We start from the raw sequence: 23,982 nt of genomic DNA, 5'->3' as shown, positions 1-23,982 counted from the left end.
AGTTGGGATCAGATTGGCTTCACATAGGCAACTGAACAAATAAGTAAATATATTGAAGTGGTGGAAGCCAGCCTTTTCATGAATGGAGAAAGGTGGTATCAACATAGAAGGGGGGAAAGCTACAGTGGATTCAAATTGGAGCTAATAGTATGAAGTTATGATTTTCAGTATGTGTAGACAGAGAAATAAATGTCTTTGTAAATGCATGTGTATGTGTGGGTAGACACACACACACACACACACATTTCCTAGTTCTTTTCACACATTTCCTAATCCTTTCTCAGAGCGCCTGGGAAGAGTGGCTCTCTAGTAGCAGTGAGTAGATTTAGGACCCATATGTTGATTTGGAATACCACTCTGTGCTGAAAGCAATCAGGGCTCTTTGGAGAAATGACTGATTCTCGAGCTGGAGCCTGAAATATCTTGCTGTTCCAGGAAGTAAGGAGGTACTCAATAATAATGTGACACATTGAAAGGACACAAGGGCCTTCAGTCTTCAGTCTTCAGTCTTCAATCTACTATAATCTTCAAAAATGTCAAGGAAAGATTGAGGAACTGTCCTACAGTGGAAGAGACTATGTACGAACTGGGTGCAGTGCAGTGATCTTTTTTGTCATAATGTTATTGGGGCAACTGATGAAAACTTGAATGGGGGGGTCTCTGGATTCTTTGTATTATATATAGGAGTTCTTTGTATTATTGTTGGAACTTTATTACAAGTTTGCAATGATTTCAACATAGAAAAGGATACCATTAAGAGAATGGAAAGCAACAGCAAAATCCTGATGGAAAGGGGCCAGTAGCGAGGGAAAGACTAAAAAGAGTTAGAAAGCAGGGAGGTAGTTGAGAGGGCAAGGTCTCTGGGAGGTAGGAGATAAGAAGAGGATGGATTCACTTTGGGATGGGGGGCTCTGTTTTCGTTGTAATAGTGGTGAAAGATAACACATGGGAGGAAAGGATGCAGCTTGAGGATGGAGGTAATTTTGAAGGTCTCTAGGACCATTTAAAGTATATTTTCTTTCTATAAGACTGGCAAACACTTTTGTCAGTGGAGTTTTAGGGTGAAAAAGTAAGCCTGAGAAAGAAAGCTAGGGAGTTTTGGTCAAACAACATTTTATTTTTTATTTATTGTGAAATATGACACATACAGAAAAATACACAAGCCATAAGTGAAAAGCTTAATGAATTATGAGAAAATGAACACTCAGGTAACTGTCAACATGTTCAAGAAACAGAACATTAATTACTAGCACTTCACACCTCAAACTCTCCCCTCCCTTCTGCGAGCCTCCCCAGTAATGACCCCTGTTTCCTTCCCGAAGATCCACTATCCTGACATCCATCACTAGGTTACTTTTGTCTCTTTTTGAATTTTATGTACATGGAACCATATAGCATGTATTTTTTAGTGTGTGGCTAATTTGGCTCAGCATTATGTTTTTGACATTTAGGTACAGTAGTGCCTCCTTATCTGTGGTTTCAGTTACCCATGGTCAACTGTGGTCTGAAAATAGTAAATGGAAAACTCCAGAAATAAGCAATTCATGAGTTTTAAATTGCTCACTGTTCTGTGTAGCATGATGGCATCTCGTGCTGTCCTGCCCTGTCTTGTCCAGGACATGAATCATCGCTTTGTTGAGCATATCCTTGCTGTATACATTATCCACCTGTTAGTCACTCAGCAGCCTTCTCCTTTATCAGACAGAAAAAGTCATAGTATATATGGGGTTCGGTACTATCTGCAGTTTCAGGCACCTACTGGGGGTCTTGGAGCGTATCCCCTGCAGATAAGGGGGGACTGCTGTTTATTGTTCTGTGTAACTGTAAGTTTGTCTATTTAAGTTGTATAAAATTTTATTATACTACACATTTTGCTGTTGCAATTTGAGTAGTTGCCAGTTTTGGCTATTCCAAGTAATGCTGCTGTGAACATTACTGATATAACACTCGGAGCACATATGCCCCCAACGGCATGTCTGCTGGGAGTGGAATGGCATGATTATGGAGGATGCATGAGTTCAGCTTTGTAGATTATGCTAAACTGCCATCCAAAGTGGTTATATGAGACTTGCCTAGGCTCCTCATGCTCGCCAGCACTTGGTACTGTGTCAGACAGGACATTGAACACTGTTTTCTCATCACCAGCCCCTCCTTATTTCACCTCTATTGCTCTTGTTTATTGTTACCCTGGGCTTGCTTTATGCAAAAATAATTCTGTTTTAAATATACCTCATTGAAATCCATCTTGCTTCAGTTTTATATCTTTGTTTCATGCCTCTCCTCTTCCACTGAGCTTAGAAACGTGTTTAGGATTTTTTTTTTTTTTAACTGAGTATATCAGGAGACAGCAGCATATCTGACTCAGACAAAAGGTCCTGGGGAAGTTACAGATTTTGAATGCAGCCCATACAGCAGAAATGTATGGAATCATGAAAAGAATGCAGACACTTGAGAGAGAGGAAAGGGCCGACTACATTTCTTTGTGAACATGGCAGAATATCTTGATGACTGAGAATTTTCTTATGTTGAGTGACATTGGGGCAAATGGTTTAAGCAAGAAGGGAGGTAATATAGGGAAAATATCAACAGGCAATTTAAACATTAATAAATAACAAAATAAAAAATAAATGTTGGGATATCATAAATTCTGCCAAATAAATCATTGCCTGAGGGACCTTAGAATGTGAGTCTGGGAGAGTTAGCTTTATCAGTTTGGGAAACCAAATTGATTTTTTAACAAAAGAAAAAGTTTTGTGTATAAGTGGGAATGGTAGAGGATACTCTGGGTAAATGGAATAAAAAATCTGACCAATCAGTTTTTGCCATTTTCTGCCCAGGTTAACTGAGTGTTTTTATCCTACTAATTGATTGTACTGAATTGACTAGGTAACGTGTTTTAATGAACTAATACATATTTTTGAATGCTTATTATGGCTTGCCTTTATGGAAAAACAGGAAACCAATTAGTTGATATTTCTCTTACACCTAATTTATTTTATAAGAATTTCTCAAGTATTCTATGTATAAGGTATCGTTTTGCTAAAAGCAGCAGAAGGCTGTTGCTGTGTACGTTTGCTCCTGGGATCAAGATTCTCCAATTAAATTATTGTAGGAAAATAGATGTAATAATAAGTACTCTACAATCAATTAAAACTTGTGTTTCATAGTTCCCAAGCCAGAGGAGGTGAATGATTGTCCATGGCTACTACAATTAGAAAAACAATTGGGATTTTTTTTTCTTTTTCAGTTTTTTTTTTTCTTTTTTAATGTCACTTTGTTCTTTGTTTCTTAAATTCCTGTCTTCATCTTTGCAAATTGCACAGGGCAAAAAACCAACATAATACTAGTGGAATTTTTTCTAAGTGCTACTCTTGGCTCTCTAAAGACCTTAAAAGTACATAGCCAAAGATATGGAATTAGGAATAATCAAGGTGTATTTTTGTATTGAGAGGGCACAGAGATTATGAAGTGTGTCTCCTTCTGTATTAGGTTTCTAGGTCTATTATTACAAATTACTATAAACTGAGTATCTTAAAATTTATTTTCTCACAGTCTTGGAGGCTGGAGTCCAAAATCAAGGTGTCGGCAGAGCTGTGTTCCTTCCGAAGGCTCTGGGAAAGAATTCTTCCTTGCCCCTTCCAGTTTCTCATCATTGCTGGCAATCCTTGGCTTGTAGATGCATCACTCTGATCTCTGTCTCCACCATCATATAGCTTTCTCCTTGTGTGTGTCTCTTGTTTCCTTTTCTTATAACTACACCAGCCATTGGGTTAGGGCCCAGTATGACCTCATTTTAACTAAACTAAATATATTTGCGAAGACTTTATTTCCAAATAAGGTTGTATTTTTGGGTGGACATGAATTTTGGGGGGACACTGTTCAACCCAGTACACTGTCCTTTTGGCCTTATTCTTGTCAGAAGTTTTATTAAATATTTCCAAGATGGCTATAGGCAGTGACTTCTCCAGGTGGGCCTTGGGAGCAGTTAGCCCTAGGTGCAGACAGTAAGTGGGTGAATTGTGTGTAGACTATAGATTGGCCTGTTTTTCATTATTACTATATACTGGCAATCCTATTAATAAATAATGCCAGTGATAGAATACTTCTCCTACCCTCCCCCTCCACCAATCATATGTTGGTCTAAGTTTTAACTATGTGTTTGGTTACTCTTGAATGTTAATAATATACATGTATGCTTAGATTTGGCACATTTTTATTACCAGTCCTGTAATAGACATTATATTCTACATGAAAGTTAATTTGGAGTACTTTTTTTTTTTTTTTTTTTGAGACAGAGTTGTCTTTTGTTACCTAGGCTGGAGTGCAATGGCGTGATCTCGGCTCACTGCAACTTCTGCCTCCCAGGTTCAAGCGATTATTCTGCCTCAGCCTCCTGAGTAGCTGGGATTGCAGGCACGCACCACCATGCCCGGCTAATTTTTGTATTTTTAGTAGAGATGGGGGTTTCTCCATGTTGGTCAGGCTAGTCTCAAACTCCCGACCTCAGGTGATCCACCCGCTTCTGCCTCCCAAAGTGCTAGGATTACAGGCGTGAGCCACTGCACCTGGCCTGGAGTACTCTTAGTTATACAGTCATTCCCGGATACATGAAGATTCAGCTTCATACAGTCATTTTGAAAGCAAATTTATAACAGTTTGGAATTGTATGAGCTTGTTTTGAACACAGTTTGTGCTTCCATTCCCTGCCCTATACATGCCTGCATTTAAAAGCATTGCAGATTAGAAATAAACAACAATAGCACAGTGATTATAAAAAAGGAGAAACTCAACATAAGTTACTTCAATTCGATGTGATCTCTTGGAGTTATTTTTATGCTTTAAATTTACAGTTGAGAAAGCTATGGACTCTGAGGTGTAATGTGTAATATTTTGCTTGGTAAGTGCATATTTTAGTTCATGTATGAAGTATATTCTACTAATTTTAATAGTGTCTTTAGAATTGAAATTTATTTTTTTAAATTTGTTGTTTTGAAACTAAAGAAAGAGTCAAAGTAAAACATGACATCAGTGGTATGCTTTAGTAGGGGGTGGCAGATACTGAAAAAAATGCTTTAGAATTATTATTATTATTTTGTTCTTTTTAGAGACAGGGGCTCACTCTGTCACCCAGGCTGCTCATAGCTCACTGCAGCTTTGAACTCCTGGGCCCCAGTGATCCTCCTACCTTATCCTCCTGAGTAGCTAGGACTACTACAGGCACATGCTACCATGCCTTGCCTATTTTATTTTTCTAGAGATGGGGAGTAGTTAGCCTTAGGTGCAGACAGTAAGTGGGTGTTGCAACACAGCCTGCCATGTTGCCCAGGCTGGTCTCACACCCCTGTCCTCAAGCAACCCTCCCGCTTCAGCCTCCCAAAGTGTTGAGGTTATAGGCATGAGCCACTGCCTGGCTGGAATTCTTTTTGACAGCACTCTGGATACTTTAAACAGAGATCAAATGTGTGAATTGGTCAGATAGGCCTATATTGAAGGTGGCAGAGTGGAAATAAAGAAGTCATTCTTACCTTTCTGGAAACAGAGATCAAATGTGTGAACTGGTCATAGGGAAGGTAGTAGAATGGAGATAAAGGAGTCATTCTCATATTTCCAGAACAACTGCTGCAGAATGCACAGAAAATAGCTTCAAGGAATGGGATTATTATTTCATAAACCTCTGCTATGGGCCAGGATAAAAGATGCTGCATATGTGGCCAGTATTCACTGTGGAGTTCATGCAAAAATCAAAGAAATTAATCCAAAATTTTATTTCAGCCTCTTGGAAATTATTCTCTGAGCCTTGTGGAATTTGCTTTTTTGGAAACTTTTTTTTTCCTGTGTGATTTTTTTTTTTTAGAACTTTGGACAAATTGTATTCATTCTTTCTCATCTCACCTCATTGATGGGAAAAGCTGCAGAAAAGCTTTCCTAGACAAGATGGAAGGTTCATTATGAAGCTGGGCCACAGTAGAAAAATTTTGAAAAGTTAATCTCAACTCTGAAGTACCATGTAATCCAAAGAAAATGTGGACACGTGAATCAGCTCAGACATTTCTCTCTGCTGTGTGCGGTTTTCTCTCTGGAATTATCTTTTTTCTGGTATAGTTTTAGATGACATTAATCAGATACAAAAATATTTGCAAATAGACTCCATCTTGAACAATGTACAGTGAAATACCAAACTTTAAAATTCTTCTTTGAAGATAAGTGCACAGAAATTTTGGTGAAGCCTATTTACTGTGCAACAACAAAATATAAGGAAATCAACATTTACATAGAAAAAAGAATCAAATTTTGAAGGAGAGTGCCAGGAGAAACAACAAAGAGTTGCTGGTTTTCCATTGCTCAGAGAAATCCACATAGCAATGCCAAACGCCCCAATTGTTGTCCCTGAGAACTGGACACTTGTTCTACAGCAATTAATCAAATAGTATCTGTGTTCACAATCATTTAGCCATTTTCTCTGATTTTACAGAAGAAATACTTGAGAAGTGGGATTTTTTTTTTTTTTATACCTCAGAGGCATTTGTAAATTGTTTGAATGAAAGTCAAAAGAACAAAGGCATGGATATGACTGCATTTTTTTGGAGTTTAATGTGATGTGGGATTATTATGAATCTCTACCAAACTTATTATGTTTAATACTTTTCTAAAATATTTGCATATCTCTGGCCTCATCTGGAAGAACATTTCTGAGTTAAAATTAATAAAAGGTGTTTTTCCATCAGCTATGACAAATAAATCAAAAGAGCTGGCTATACCCTTTGTTGAACATGTATGTCCAAAGAAGATCAATTTTGAGAAAGTTGTTGACAGATTTTTAGAAGGTAAGGCTGAAAATAGCAAATATTATTATTTCTTACTATAGCATACCATTATATATGTTATTCCCTTTGTTTATAATTTTATTAAATATATTAATATAATCAAAACTTGAATCTATTAACTTTTCCTTTTTTGTACGCTAATATTTGTTTTACTTTTTTAAAAAACTGGCGTGATTATACAAAGTTCAGGGAAAGAAAATTTTTAATGTCTACATTCTTTTCTGGACATTATCATTATTCATTTCATTTCATTACTTCTATTGAAAATAACTTTGTCATATGGAAGAGGAGGTCTTAAAAAGTGATCCTATCTGGTGTCAGATATACTAGATACACATCTGGCTACAAGGATGCATAACTGTGCCGATGTCAATGTTAATCTGTTAACTTCTGGTTGTGCTGTCTGCAAATTGCAAGGGCACGACAAAGAATGTCTCTTGTGTCATCCTGCACAGACCTGTTTGACAAGAGCTATTTGTGGAGACCCAGAGCTTGTTTTCTCAATACTTTTACATGGGGGAGCACTTTCAGAACAAAGACAGAAATGCAGTGTTTGGTTGTCTCTTAAAATACATGTAAAAGGATTTTAGCAGGTTTGACATTTGACAATGTTTAGAAATAAGTGGATTTCTTTTTAAGAAGAAAATTGCCCTTTTGAAAATGTAGTGATGCTATTACAGCTTTTTAAGTATCTGATACAAACAGCTGAGAAGCAGCCTTGGGTTTGTGAATCAATGATTCATTACATATCATCTGTTTGGTCTGCCAGAGAAAGAAATTTGAGGAGTACCGTATTTATCAGTCACGTACCTCTTAGGCCCTTTAGTTCAGATATCCTTAATTCTTGTTTGAAAGAATGCATTCAACTATCCTGCACTTTTAAAGTTAATCCTTCTATTTTGAAAATGAAATCTTTTTGAAGCTAATAAAAACACTGATCTAGTGAGGAATAGAAACTTCAAAAATAGATAAAAATTTAGAAGTTAAAATTTTTAATTTTCTAACTGCCCGACTTACACATTTTTTAGTTTCTTAGGTATTTATACCTTTTTCCTACTGTTAGACAATAATTTGCTTTGTTGGACTGTTTAAAAAATTTTAGTCTCATATGAAGATTATATATTTACTTTGGATGCAAATATGTGTTACTCAAGGGTCTTTTCAAGAAATCTTTTAGAACCCATTATTTTCTCTGAAGTAAAATACCTGTTGTAGAAGAAGGCTTTTATGTGACTATCAAGACTGCCAGAGGACGTGGAAAATTACTGACACTTATCATAGAAGCGGGAGCCTTTCACTTGTGAAAGAATGCCCAGAGGGAAAGGTGGCTGGTAATTACTACTTCACCTCTGAGGCACTGTCAGGTGGTTTGGGTTTATTGTCACCCCAGTCATAACTTGTTATTGCAAGAGTTGGGGGATAGGGAGAGATGCCTTTTTATAAGAACATTTGCACAGAAAGGAAAAATATTCTGGAAAGTGTTATGTTGTATAGTTAATACAATTTGTAGCATTAATGTATATTAAGAAACAAATAAATTCTATTTTCTGCAGTAGTGATTCTCAAATTTTTCTGGACTCAGCACTGCATTATACTTACAAAAGTTATTGAAAACCCCAACATGCTTTTGTTTATATGGGTTATATGTACCGATATTTACCATATTAAATATTAAAACTGAGAATTAAGTATTTACTTATTCATTTTAAATAACCATAATAAACCATGGCACATATGACTGTTTTTATATATGACTTATTTTATAAAAAATATATTGACCAAAAAAACCAGTGGAAATAATGACAGTTTTACATGTTAGCAAGTCACTTTAACGTCTTGTTTAGTAGGAGACAAAGGGATTCTCATCTGTATCTGCCTTCAGTCAATTTGCAATATGTTGTTTCGGTTGAAACAGATTAAGGAAATCTGACCTCACACAGATGTACTTGGAAAAGGGAAAAAATAGTCTTTTCAGATAAATTGTGGATTTTCTTTTAACCAATGATAGTTTTCTTTTAACAAATGATAGTTTCTTAAACTTTTTGTTCTCTGTTACATTAAAATTCATTTGTCTATCTTGCACTTTGTGTGAATTCTTTACCCATATTATGTGATATTGTAATATAATGCATTGGTTATTGGAAAATGTTTGTTTCTTGAGAGTTACAGATCTTCCAAATGTTGAAACATTTCCTTTTATAATATCACATTTGTTAATATCACCACTGATGTCATCTAAAAAGTTTTTAAGTATTTAAGTAGTATCTACTACCGTGAGGTAGTAGATACAAGTTTTCCCTAATCCCAATTTTTACTTGAAAGTTTGAATTTTATCCTTGGCCACAAATACTGCTAGTTGTTTTTCTTGAAATGATAGGCTCACTCCATTCATTTTCTAGAGAATGTCTGCCAGGTATCCAAGTCTGAATAACCATCGTTTGTCTGTCAGTCCTTCTTTCTATCAAGTAAAAATGGAGTGTCGTGAACAAGGCCAATTCAGCTTACATACAACTCTATTAATGGCCCAGAGGCTTTTCCTCCAGCTATCTATTGTGAATGGTGCTTTATGGATATTGCTCATTTCATAATGCAGGATATTAAAATGATGCATACTGAGGGTTGGGATTTAATGAAATTAATGTTTACTGCTTTATCAAGGACAGTCTTAAGTGAAACTGTTTTTTTTTCATTTTCCTGCTGCTAATGCATGAAGGTGAAAGATGTAATGACTACTAGCAGTTTGGAGCTACTGCCTTGATTCCTGCTAAGGCACCAGCAGTGTTAACCCACCACTGCTTTTGTAACGTCAGTGCAAATGTTAACACAGTAATTACAGGATATTATTCAAAAAATTATTTAGTACTTTGAATATTTCAGCACCTCTTGTATATTGTTGCCAAAAATTCACAGAAAAGAAGTTTTTTGATGATTTATCGTGCTGATAACAGACAAATACAGGCAAACTGGCAAGTCCATCTATATCTGGAGATTCACTCATTTGTAAAGCAAAAGTATGATTATTTCAGATGAGATATCAGGCCAGTCTTCATATTGCAGTCAAATCTCTTAATTGGACGAGTTACTCTGTCATTGCAAAGTGGCAGTGCTGTTATTTCCTCGACTAACTTTTCATCTAGTAAGCATTCTGCAATGTCAACAGTACAACTGTCTCTCAGCTAGTATGTGTGCTTCTCCAGCCAGGGGTGCATAACTAACCCTGTAAGATGCTTCACTGGGTTTTTTCATGTCTGGTTTGAAAAGATGTAATAAACACTGTTTGACTTTTAATGAGCTTATCATGTATAAGTTTAAATATTCAATTCTCTTTTCTTCATACTGTGAATGATTTGTCTCAATGAGACACTACAACTTAACTGGCACCATAAATATTATTTTTAAATGTTCCATTGCATAACGCACAAAAAGGTAAGTTATTAACATCCATAAAGTCAAGAGAAAGGTGGCTTTCATCATAATTTCACTTCTTATTCATAATTTTACCCAGTTTGTTTAGAGTAGATTCTTCCCTTCCATGAGTCAAAAGACTGTCTGATATGTCAGTTTCACTTTTTTCAGCATCCTCAGATATAGACAGATAGTGCAGTTATAGGTTGAGAAGGTAAGCCTTCTTTTTTTTTTCAAGACGGAGTCTTGTTCTGTAGCCCAGGCTGGAGTGCAATGGCATAATCTTGGCTCGCTGCAAACTCTGCCTCCCGGATTCAAGTCATTCTCCTGTCTCAGCCTCCCAAGTAGCTGGGATTATGGGCATGCACCACCACACCCAGCTAATTTTTGTATTTAGTAGAGATAGGATTTCACCATGTTGGCCAGGCTGGTGAGAAGGTAAGCCTTCTAATCCCATTTTGACAATTCATCCCTAAATTGGAAAAAAGTATTATAAATAAATTTTCTTTTAGAACAAGATAAAATATTATTAAAGTGTAAAATGAGTTTCAATTAAAATTAAAATTTGTTTTTATTTGAAAACTTAAAAATATTGCTGTGAAACAAAGGAATAAGTAGTACCTACTCCTTTTGTGCTCCTGTGTAGGTTGCAAGGGAAACTTTGGGGTTCAAAGTAAGAATTTATTGAACAACAATGAGGGTACAGAGATTACAGCAGGAATAATCAAAGACAGCTATTAATAGTAAGAGCACAGTAAAAGTACTGAGAACAAACTGAGTTAATCTCTGAAAATGCACTGCTTCATACCATAAACCTCTGCCGCAGAGCTACATCACAGTGGAATACACAGCACACATTCCATTAGCTGTCAGAGTGATGAAGTAGGCACACATCATGTAGTCTCTGGAAAATTCCACTGACACTCAGAGACTGAGAGAGATAAAGGCAAATAATGTTTTAGTTTTACTCTAAGTAAAGTCAAGGACACACTGACAGTCTCCAAGGGACCTCCTGGAGTCCCCAGGCCACACTTAAAGAACCATGCACTGTTCTAGATATTGGAACCCACCATCATGGTGTTTTAAAAGTCACCTCTGAAAATCACTGTGCATTCTTGACATTTTGCAACCCTGAAGCAGGAGTGATCATCGCGTGTCAAGATCCTCCTTATCCAGGACATATTCTGTATCTTCTTGTAAAGTTAATTCTGAGGTCTTTTGTCATTTCATATAAATAAAGTCAGGAGTCAGGAAGCAGGAGAATGGTGGACACTTTTATTACATGAAATAATTTGACTAATTCATTCACTGATTTTTTAAGTTAGAGAAATGTGTGCTTTTGGCTTAAGGCTAGGCTTTATTGGTATAAAATCTTATATAAACTTGATCCAATTTATGGCTGGCAAGAATAAAGATTTTGATAAAAATGTCAAAGCTTCTCTATCTGGGGTCTTGCTGCCCATGCTTAACTGGGGGAAAACCTGGCTAGGCTGTCACTAGGATGGAGCCTCTGCTTCCTCTCCAGAGCACCAATAGCACAGAGTGCGTGGTCCTGCTGCATCTACTTCCATTAGAACACCATGTACATCTCCAGTCAAGAAACCAGAGCGTGCTCAAACATTGAGTTTAATGTGTAATTAGGATTAAATTACCCATTAAACAAAGTGATTTTATGGTAATGTGTTATTAAGATTGCAAAGTTGTTAAGTTATAACATTTGATTCTAAGATGCATGTTTGGCTACCTTTTAACAACACTGAAATGAGAATGTGTTTTTCAAAGACAGCATTTTTTTCTATTTTTTTGAAATAGCATGTTTTTGTTTTAATTTAGAGATGTTATCTTCAAATTGTCTTTTTTGATGTTATCACAAATGCCTATTTCATGTGGAAGACTACAGTAGCTCTTTAGTGGTTTCTATATTTCTCTTTTAAAAGAGAAATAACGGATGCTAGCAATAATTTATATGTGTATATTCCTGAAATGTGCATTTCCACATTATGTGCTTCATAGTAAATAGGAAAATTAGCATTAAACTACTGAATGTAGTTTTTCAAAAAGGTCTGCTTTTTTTAAAAAAACTATTTTGCTTATGTTTAAATTTGATATTCATCATTTAATTCTGTTCATTGCAGGTTTATTTTAGGACAGTGGAACTTATAGAAGAGCCTATAAAAGGGTCTCCTGGTTTGAGTTTCTATTTCAAAATTAATGGATTTCCCATATTTCTAAAAGGCTCAAACTGGATCCCAGCAGATTCATTCCAGGACCGAGTAACCTCTGAGTTGTAAGTTATTGTCTTTCTTTTCTTGTTCTTCTTTTAATTAGCAGTCCCGCAAAGCTTGAGGTTTACTCATTTTTACTTTCTTTAGTCTCTGGGCAAGGAACTAAGAGGTAGTATAGAATTCTAGACGATGGAAACTTCAGAATGGACAGGATTTTAAAAATTATATATTCCATTCTCCTGGGTTACAGGTGGTCTTACAGCTAAACTATTTGAGACTGTTGAAGCCATTCGATTTTTAGAAAACTATTATATGTTTATTCTGGAGAAATAAGAAAATGAGTAATTTATATTTTGAATAGTCTCCGAAAAAAATATTACATTCAACTATTTTCAGCTTTTCAAATGATACGTTAAATGTTTTGAGCATGGTTTTGAAAGATAAGAACACATATTTACCTTTTTTTTTTTTTTGAGATGGAGTCTTGCTCTGTTGCCCAGGCTGGAGTGCAGTCGCGTGATCTCAGCTCACTGCAACCTCCGCCTCCCAGGCTCAAGCGATTCTCCTGCCTCAGCCTCCCAAGTAGCTGGGATTACAGGTGCAGGCCACTACCGCCCAGCTAATTTTTGTATTTTTAGTAGAGATGGGGTTTCACTATGTAGGCCAGGCTGGTCTTGAACTCCTGACCTCAAATGATCCACCTGCCTCAGCCTCCCAAAGTGTTGGGATTACATGCGTAAGCCACCGGGCCAACCCCATATTTACCTTTCTATGCTAAGGTATTTGCATATTCTTTTACTTTTATCTCAACAAAAGAACTAAACAAAATCTCGTGTGTAGTGGAGGCGCGGTTGTGGGAGGGTGGGGAGGAAACTGGGAGCTGTTGGTCAGAGGATACAATGTAGCAGATATGCAAGAGAACAAGTCCAGAGATCTGATGTGCACTAGGAATATAGGTTAAAAAAATTGTGCTATTTATAGGATTCATGGTAAATAAGTGAGTAGATTTTAGCTACTTGTGCCACAAAAGCAAAAAAGAGTGGATAACTACGTAGGACAGCAGTCCCAAACCTTTTTGGCACCAATAACCAGTTTCATGGAAGACAGTTTTTCTACAGATTGGGGGTGGGGGATGAGGGGATAGTTTTGGAATGAAACTGTTCTACCTCAGATCATCAGGAATTAGATTCTCATAAGGAGCATGCAACCTGTATCCTTCGCATGCACAGTTCACAATAGTGTTCCTGCTCCTATGAGAATCTAATGCTGCCGCTGATCTGATAGGAGGTCAGGTAGTAATGCTTGCTCACCAGCTGCTTACCTCCTGCTGTGCCACCTGATCCATGGTCCAGTCCGTGGCCTGGGGGTTGGGACCCCTGTTGTAGGATGGTAAGTACGTTGGTTTGTTTCACTATAGTAACCTTTTAACTATCTATCTATATATCCCATAACATTATGTCATATACCTTAAATATACACAATACAATTTATTTAAAAACAAAATATAATCTTAAAAGTTCTAGATCTAGGAAAAAAAATGTTTTTCCAAGACTGAAGGAATAGAACTTTGGAAGAAAATAATATTTCCTAATTGGATCTGTAAACTTAAATCTTTGCAATGCTGAAAATAAACTTTATGAAATGAAAATAAACACATTTAAACTTATTTATTATCTAAATTAAATAACATTTTAGCATATTTACAAATGTATAAATGTGCATTGTAGTATATTATTTGATGTTTAGAATGTAAATGTCATCAGTAACTAAACCCTGATTTTTTCCAAAAGTTGTAGTAATTTCCTTTTACTTTAAAATGTGTATATTATTTTAGATTTCATAAGAAAATGAAATTCTTCTCCAGACACAGCCACGGGATAATTGGCTCTATCTTTTTCCTTTTCAAATGCTCCTCTCCCCTCCCAGCTGGGGCTGGGTTGGCTGTGGTCCTTCAGCCCAACTGGGCCAATTGGTAAGCCTGCCGTGGTGCCTGTGCTGAGCCCACAGTGCTCTGGGTCTGCCCAGCCTGTTACTTGGTTTGAGCACTGTTCTGGGAATGGAGGGAAGGTACATGCTCTCAAGCTGCCTGTAAGTTTCTAGATTTTCCTGAGGGTAATGTGAATAGGAATTGGAAAAAGTAGAAAGGAAATTTACTAGAGAAAGAAATACTGGGCTGGAGAAATTGCATAAAAGGAGATAGGGGTGCTAGGCACTAATACTCAAGTCTTGATTTTGTTTTATAGTTTGGAGGGTTTGTATAAAATTAGTGCATACTTTCCAAGGCTTACAACTGTATTTTTTATAAGACTAAATATAAAACATAAATTTAATTTTAAAAAGAGTATAATAATGTTACTGAAAATTTAATAGGTAAAGATATCACCCATACTTTTTCTGTTTATTTGTTTTATGTGGTTATAGTTAATGTGTATATAATTTTATCTTACTTTCTTTAATTTACATTGTAACCAAACCATCATGATTTTAGAGTGTGTTTTTCTAACAGATTAGAAATGTGTTTATCTGTCACAATCTGTTTTTTTTTTCCAAATTATGATTTGTTTCTAAAATGTCTTCTACAGGTTACGGCTCCTTTTACAGTCTGTTGTGGATGCTAATATGAATACTCTTCGGGTTTGGGGAGGAGGAATTTATGAGCAGGATGAATTCTATGAACTCTGTGATGAACTAGGAATAATGGTGAGAAGTTGATAGCATTTTATATATTGATAAGTTACTATATCCTCAGTTTGACTGCCAATGTTCTGAATGATGCAATTGCCCCAGTCTCAGAGCTAGGAATGATATTCCATTTGGGGCTATAGGAATAAATGGCATCTTGTAAACCAAGAGCCATAGGTGATCAACTACCATAATTATTTATTTTTAAATGATAGATATCCTGTAAATTATTTATATCCCAGTATACATATACCTACTTTTAAAATAATTTTCTTTGTGATATTTAGGTATGCATATAAAAGAAAACAAAATATTTAAAACACTTAAAGGAGATCTGACGAAACCTAAAGAGAAGAAAAATAATAAAATTAAGTAAAGAAAAGGTGTGTTTCATATTGTTTTTCTAAATTTTTTCTAATTTTTTATTTTTAATTTGTTAAAAATTAAAAATGTTGCCCAGGCTGGAGTGCAATGGTGCAATCTCAGCTTACTGCACCCTCCTCCACCCCAGGTTCAAGCGATTCTCCTGCCTCAACCTCCGGAGCAGCTGGGATTACAGGCATGTGCTAAATTTTGTATTTTTAGTAAATTAGCATCCAGCTAATTTTTGTATTTTTAGTAGAGATGGGGTTTCACCGTGTTGTCCAGGCTGGCCTTGAACTCCTGACCTCAGGTGATCCACCTGCCTCTGCCTCCCAAAGTGGTGAGATTACAGGTGTGAGCCACTGTACCTGGCCCTAATATTGTTATTAAGTACTTTTAATGTGTTTTGCAATTGTGAGGATAAAGCAAAGAAAATATATTCTGTTAGTTCTATTATTGTTGTTCTAAAATATAAAGAGTGCCACCGAAGACTAGGAATTATTCTAATAATGATAATGCTGATGGTCATTGTGACGATGACAATATTCTATAATATTCTCTGAGTGCCAGGCATTGTTCTAAGTGCTCTACATATTTTATCTTCATGCCCATTCAATGATGTAGTTACTATTCTCTATCCCCATTTACAGATAAGGAAACTGACACATGAAGAGGTTATATATTTTATCCAAACTCTAACAACTCATTTATGGTGGAATGAAATTCCGACTCAGACAGGCTGCTTTGGGGCTATGATCTTTTTTTTTTTTTTTTTTTTTTTGATATGGAGTCTGGCTCTGTTGCCTAGGCTGGAATGCAGTGGTGCGATCTTGGTTCACTGCAGCCTTCACCTCCTGGGTTCAAGCGATTCTCCTGCCTCAGCCTACCAAGTAGCTGGGATTACAGATGTGTGTCACCACGCCCGGCTAATTTTTATATTTCTTTCTTTTTTTTTTGAGACGGAGTCTTGCTCTGTCACCCAGGCTGGAGTGCAGTGGCACAATCTTGGCTCACTGCAAGCTCTGCCTCCTGGGTTCACGCCATTCTCCTGCCTCAGCCTCCCGAGTAGCTGGGACCACAGGCGCTCACCACCTTGCCCGGCTAATTTTTTGTACTTTTAGTAGAGACGGGGTTTCACCGTGTTAGCCAGGATGGTCTCGATCTCCTGACCTCGTGATCTGCCCACCTTGGCCTCCCAAAATTCTGGGATTACAGGCGTGAGCCACCGTGCCTGGCCTAATTTTTGTATTTCTAGTAGAGACCGGGTTTCACCATTTTGGCCAGGCTGGTCTCGAACTCTTGACCTCAGGTGATACGCCCCGCCTCAGCCTCCCAAAGTGCTGGGATTACAGGCGTGAGCCACTGCTCCCAGCAGGGGCTGTGTTCTTAACCATTGCATCACACAGCCTCCTTAGGAAGGGACTTATATGGTTTCATTACTAAAATGTGCATGTAGTAATCCTTTTGTCTATGAAAAGCTAATTCCTTTATAAATGAAGTATGATTCTTAACAGTCTGGTGCATCTCAATACCAAATGCCTGGTGAAAATTGGAATGAATTAGGAGTGACAAGGGGCTGGAGGGAAGCCTCATTCTGTGTCCCCTCCACACATTTTTTCTTTTTCAAATTCTTCCATCTTCTCTTTCTTCTATACCTGCCTAGGATTTTCTCTTCTCAGATTTTGTGCAGTTCTGGGAAGTCCTAATGTCTTTGATACATTTCTTGGTATCAAATTATGCATAATGGCGCCCCAGTGATCACACTCATCAGGCTAACTGGATTTTTCATTTGTGTGAAAGATAATGCCCAGAGCTCAGAATAAAGACTTTCTTCTGTGTAATAAAACTTATGGAAGTGTTGCATTCCCTTTTATTTGATTTGCTAGGTATGGCAGGATTTTATGTTTGCCTGTGCCCTTTATCCAACTGATCAGGGCTTCCTGGATTCAGTGACAGCAGAAGTTGCCTACCAGGTATGTTACTACCCTTCCAAGAAGAAATAAAACAAATAATATGTTTTAGTATTGCCTTTTGTTAAATCTTGCTTCATTTTGGTTTTTGTTCTCTACTAAATCCCATGAAAAATTACACAGCCAGGTAATTGACATCCTAGGTGATTGTACCCAGTGTCATGGCTTTACCATCATCTATTGGCTGATGACTCCCAGATTTATCCCCAGTCCTGATTTCTCTGCTGAATTCCTCTTTCTTATATCCAACTGCCTACCTGGTGCCTCTGCTTGGAGGTTTAACAGGCATCTGAAATGTAACATGTACAAACTAAACTTATATTGCACCCCCTCCCCAATCTTGCTTCTTCTGAAGTTTTCTCCATCTCAGCAAACAGCAACACCACTGTTTGAATTGCTCAGGAGAAAGTTTAAATTGATTATTGATTCCTTGATTTATTTTAGATTCCACATATTGACATTTATATTTATATTCACAGATATATAAATGCAAGGAAGTGATTATATGCTTTCTCTGCCTACTGAAAAGATCTAGAAATAATGCCCAACGTTGTAGTGTTGAGTATTCTTATATTGAAGTAATCTTTCCTGTTAAGAGAAAAGCTTCTTAGAGAAATGGCCGACTCCAGGTCTGGCACAGGAAATATATAAAATGATCCTGGATATCTTCTTTTCACAAATGGCAATGGTGTTAATATAATATTATCAACTGATAATTTTAGCCACAGATCTGAGGTTTATGAGCTGTGTGCTGAATATACTTATTTTTGCAGCAAGGTCTGTTTAGGGGATGATCATGCTTTGAAACACAGATTGCATTATATTTCCTCTCCCCTAAATATTAAGTGCATGGCATGGGTTTCCATGTAGAATCAGAGTGGGATGCTTGTCAATACATGAAAATTCTGAATTATGATGTACTCCCAAAATACAGTTTAGAAACCAACTTGTGAGTGTATCATATGCTAGTAAAATACTACTGAAACATCGGACTGATTCATTAGCATCCATTGGAAATGATCACTGCACCAGGAGATCACCCCTACCTTGTAAAGAGTTTGCAAGACTGTGGAGACATATTGAGTTTTTATAGTGCTCTGCAACATGTTAAAGAAGGAAACAAATCCATTTTCTCGGTAACCTCAGGTAAAGCTACAATGTGGATAATTATTGACTCTGATTTCAATTTCTCATGTCCAACTGTCTGCCAGATTTTTTGTAATGTTGATATACAAAGAACAAATATTTTGATATTTCTTCTTGAATGGTGAGTCTGCAACCTTAGGGAGGTCACTTTACCTCTTGAGCCTCAATTTCTGTATCTATAACTCTAGTATGATGTCACTCCTCATGAAACTGTTTCAAAAATTAAATAGGATAATACGTGTAAGTCATGCAGTTCAAAAGAAATAACAAATAATAGCAGCTGTCACACTAACTCAGCGTGTCTTCAAAGTACATCTATTATCTTTTCCCCAGTGCACTCTTTCAAGATTTTTCTTTTTAGCAGGAAATATGAAAGTCATTGATACTTTCTTCTTTCTCACCTCCCACATCCATCTGGTTTTAAGTTGAGACAATTTTTTGATATCAATGTTACTAGTATTTGTATTTACTTTCTCACCCCCGTGCTTACTACTCTAATTCAAATCCTATTTTTCCCTCTCCTCAATCATTGCATTTGTTTTCTGATTGGACTCCCTAGCATTGGTCTCTTTCAATATGTGCATACTCAACAGAGCTGCCAAAGTCATCTTCCACTGACACATTTTAAGTCATACCACATTCCTGCTCAGAACCCTGATCCTGGAATATCTCAACATGCAGATAACAAGGAAGCTATCAAAGTTATGTCAAAAGGATTTTGAGAGACTCTGAACAACCAAAAGGGGGACAATTTGAGATTCAATAAAGATAAGGATGTCAATGAATTGAATCCATCAAGTGTGTTAAAATCTAGAGTTCATATTATAGTGTCTGCAGATGTATATTTTGTGAAAAACCATACAGAAATGCAAGGAAGCGATTTCTATTACACTATGATACTCTAGATAGTGGTTACTTTTGGAAGGAGGAAGGGGCTGTGATTAGGAAGAGGCACGTGGATGGCTTCCGGCCTGGCTGCACTGGGTGGTGGCTACAAGGGTGATTGCCTTATGATAATTGACCGTGTCATAATTTGTTTTCTGTAACTGTGTTTCATTTTAAAATAAAAGGTTTAAAAAGTACAATCGAACTCCTTCCCTAGCCAACACTTCCCCTGAGGTGGCTTCTTGACCTCTGGGTAAGGTGTAAGATCCTCTTAATGCGGGACTCCGGCCAGCTGGTGTCTGCACCTGTTCAGGCACCATCTCCATCTTGCTGTCTATGTCCTGGAACATCTTCCCCATCCACTGCCCTTGTGAGCCACCTCCTTTGTTCTCCTTTGGCCCCTCTTACCTTAAGCATGGGAAAAATCTTTTGCCTTTTGAGACACACATCACACTTTGAATTACTTGTTCAAGGATTTGTCACCTCTGCAAGATTGTCATCTCCCTGAGGCCTAGGACTCATTCCCCTCTGCGTCCCCACTCTGTGGATTATTCACAAAGTGGATAGATGAATGGATGAATGAATAACTGTAAACATATTAATTGTAGTTACACAGGTTGCAAGCATTTCAGTTTTATTTTTAGTTTTCTTTCGTATAAATAATTAAAATCTAACATTTATGTATCTTCAGTTCTTTGATGCATTATTAAAGATAAGGAGAGCCATTGCATGCAAAGTTTGTTAAAATTTTAAAGTAAAGCTTACCATAAAACTCTAAGTCAGCTTGAGGGTTGTGTGTAACACGGTGCTACTGAAGCTTTTTGCCACTTCAGGATTTATATTTGTATTTTCATCAGTGGCATAAATATGTCAGTCACAGTTGGTAGCAGCTGTCCCTTTCTTGGGCATGTACAAAGACAAAAAAAGGAAATAGTGTTTATATGGCTGGCTGAGAAAAACACAAGACTTAATTTTTTTAAAAATGAAATATATCTCTTTAATATACCTTCAGTGCATCTCTATTTCATCTATGTGAGTTTCTGAGCTTCTTGAATGGAGAACACATTGAGAGCATCAGTGGGGGGCAATCAGTGTAATCATGCATCACAGCGAAGGTGAACCTATAAATATCAATGAGGTAACATTGCCAAAACATGTTCCAAAAGAATTTTTCTTGACCATTGACTCACTCTGCCATTCTCAGAGGAATTTAATTGCTCTCTACTGGGGCACATGTCCTAGTGTATTAGAAGAAGGGACATGTCTGAATCTGTCCAGTGCAAACATAACACAAGTGGATCCTTTTGTCTTTATGTAGGGCCAGCCCAGATGAGCTCAGTTTATGCAGGCCTCGTGTGGCACGGTTTTCAGGTAGATTCTCTAATTTTCCCTTTTATATTTAGGTACATTCAGTAACTTAATGTTAGTTGATTTCTCAGGACACGACATTGATAGTTATTTCAGGAGACATCAACCCTGATTGCCCTAATCTGTTTTCCTTTAGAGTATTCCATATTTGTCTTTAACTGCCAGCATACCTCTAGTACTCACTTGCTTTGTAAAACCTTCTCTAGTTCCCCTTCTGGTTTTCTGATCTCAGTGAGGACTGCATAGGAACCTCCGTCCTTCTTTCAGTGGTAGTGTTTGCTTTGCTTCATTTATTTCTTCACACAGAACTCCAATTTGTCCAATTTGCTCTTAAGAACCAATCCCCAAAATATAATGTCTCCTGCCTTTTGTATTTCCTGAAAGTTTTCTTTGTGGCAATCCACAGAGTGAAGAGTTTATTCATTCCCCTTTTCTTTCTCTTTCTAAAAAAGGGATTATATTATCTTCAGTTTTTATATAGCAGAGAAGAGAAACCCTATGTATCAGTGTTTATAAAATCTAGTTAAAAAGAATCTCAGAGATTTCTTAAAATGTATTCCTGCAGCTAACATGACTAGCCATTTTCAAATTAGGTTTTTGGCACATAAGAATTTATGTGCAGAAATGCAAGGGCTTTAATTTTATGAGTAATTATAGCTCTGAATTTTTTATGTTAACTCTTTGAAAATCATTTTATGTTTTCTTAATTTTCAGATCAAGAGACTGAAATCTCATCCTTCTATCATCATATGGAGTGGCAATAATGAAAATGAGGAGGCGCTGATGATGAATTGGTATCATATCAGTTTCACTGACCGGCCAATCTACATCAAGGACTATGTGACACTCTATGTGAAAAACATCAGAGAGCTCGTACTGGCAGTAAGTAATGATTTTTAATGCAGTAGAATTTAAGAATGTATCTTTAGGGCTGGGCGTGGTGGCTCACGCCTGTAATCCCAGCACTTTGGGAGGCTGAGGCGGGCGGATCACAAGGTCAGGAGATCGAGACCACGGTGAAACCCCGTCTCTACTAAAAATACAAAAAAAATTAGCTGGGCGCGGTGGCGGGCGCCTGTAGTCCCAGCTACTCGGGAGGCTGAGGCAGGAGCATGGCGTGAACCCGGAAGGTAGAGCTTGCAGTGAGCCGAGATCGCGCCACTGCACTCCAGCCTGGGCGACAGGGCGAGACTCCGTCTCAAAAAAAAAAAAAAGAATGTATGTTTAAAGTGGATAAGTTTGAATACTGGTATAGTATGTTTTATGCCCCTTTTTAGGGCTGTCTTCAACAGTATCGTTTGAATACAGGGTATCCCATTGTAGTGCAGCAGCAGATGAAAGGATTCATGGGCTGTGGACTTTTTGGAGGATTAACTTCTCTGTGCAGCTCTCCACACATACACCAATGCAGTGCTTACAATGCTAGGTTGTCACATGCTCCTTGGAGTCCATCCGTGGATCCCAAAAAGTTTAGAATCTCTAGATTCGATGATTATTGATATGCCACTTCTAAAATTCTGTAATCGTATGTGTTAAAGTAGTAGACTTTGGTATATATCACATATGAATGTCCTGGTATGTGATTTAAGGGACAAAGAGAGATGAGAGAGCTGGTCTCCAACCCCGCTGTATGGCCCTTGCTCTATAGTGGTTCTCTTTGCACCACTGTTTGTCTAATTGGCATATTATACAGACATATGTTAATATAAATTGGCCTTTTTGTGAGAAAAAGCAGCATTTTTTTCAGTAATGCCTTCAAAAGTTTTAACTTTTGAAAAACTTTGTTTAACATGTGATTTAATAATCTGGTTGTCTTTACACTTTTGTGTCTGTAAATAGATGTTTTAAATATCTGGGTATATCCAGAAGCAATTTGAAAAGGCATCTATTTTTTAAAATAGTATGTGATATTAGCACCTAAACATGCCCAGTTTATGGCACTATTCCATTTATAGAAGAAACTTCATTGAGAATTCATGAAAAACATGGGTTCAAATTTATAGTTTACCTGATATACTAAGACATGTGTCATGAAGAATTTTTCTATTCACAAAATGTGATGATACAAATTTTAAAAAATATTTACAGAACACTTATTTTATAATCTTTTTATTCACAATATTGATATTATGTTTTTCATGTTTGATGGATTTATAGTTTCTGAGGGTTTTCATTTTATAGCATAGTGGTTAAGTATGCAGGCTTTGAAATCCTGGCTGGGCCACTTCCTGTCTATGTAACCTTGGGTGAGTTACTTAATCCTCCTTTTCCCATCTATAAAATTAGGTTAAAAATAGGAGCTAACTTTTAAGAGCTGTTATGTGGACTAAGTGAGATAATGGATGGAAGGCACATGACTCAGTCTGACGCATAGTAACTTTTTTTTTTTTAAAGTTAAAATATTTCTTTGGGGCAGGGGACAACACATTTCTGCTTAATGAAAAGAAATATTTTTACAGTCCAGAGCTCTTTTATTTTTTAAACACCTGTTATGCCATGCATTCATAGGGAACAGGTTCTAGAAACTCAGGCTCTGTTCCATTGGTTCTCACAGTGCACTTCTCTGGGTGGAGCCAGCTGTGCTTCCATTGAACTCAGGCTCCTTTCTCTTTGGCTTCCTTCTTTTTCTTTTCCTTTGTTTCCTTCTTGAGTTTTGGGGAGCTATCTTGGCTCCTAGAGTGCTTAATATGCTCAACACATTAATTATCTTGGCAACAATCTTGCACTTGTTTGTTTACAACAGTGCCAACAGCATGCTGGGTAGCACAGTAGACTCCTCTGGTTTTCCCACATTAACGTTTGTGGGGCATTCCTTTTTGAACCAGATGCATTTCCCTGATGTCTACATCACCTTTCTTGTAGATTCACATGTATATGGCCAAAGGAACAACTCCATATTTTCTAAAAGGCCTAGAGAATATCAGGTGCCTTTCCTCTTTCCCTTTGCGTGTCATCGTTGTAGTGAATTACTGAAAGATGGTGGTTCACAGTAACTTTTTTTTTTTTTTTTTTTTTGAGATGGAGTCTCATCTGTCTCATCTGTCACCAGGCTGGAGTGCAGTAGTGCGGTCTTGGCTCACTGCAAGCTCTGCCTCCTGGGTTCAAGCAATTCTC

The 23,982-nt window shown here is 37.1% G+C and overlaps 1 protein-coding gene and 1 pseudogene across 4 annotated transcripts in view; one reads left to right on the top strand and one right to left on the bottom strand.

The window, feature by feature from the left end:
- Positions 1-23,982, top strand: part of MANBA (mannosidase beta) — a 130,199-nt gene that overhangs the window by 74,534 nt on the left and 31,683 nt on the right. For all 4 annotated transcript variants that reach the window (NM_005908.4, XM_047415692.1, XM_047415693.1 and 1 more), the window contains 4 exons: positions 12,365-12,516; positions 15,037-15,154; positions 17,386-17,472; positions 21,583-21,750. In NM_005908.4, coding sequence (NP_005899.3) covers positions 12,365-12,516; positions 15,037-15,154; positions 17,386-17,472; positions 21,583-21,750 — 525 coding nt within the window. The remainder of the gene's footprint in view (positions 1-12,364; positions 12,517-15,036; positions 15,155-17,385; positions 17,473-21,582; positions 21,751-23,982) is intronic.
- RPL21P49 (ribosomal protein L21 pseudogene 49) lies at positions 23,319-23,854 on the bottom strand (annotated as a pseudogene).

Source organism: Homo sapiens, chromosome 4 (assembly GCF_000001405.40).
Source record: "Homo sapiens chromosome 4, GRCh38.p14 Primary Assembly".
Taxonomy (NCBI): domain Eukaryota; kingdom Metazoa; phylum Chordata; class Mammalia; order Primates; family Hominidae; genus Homo; species Homo sapiens.
This window is presented reverse-complemented; position numbering and strand designations above follow the sequence as displayed.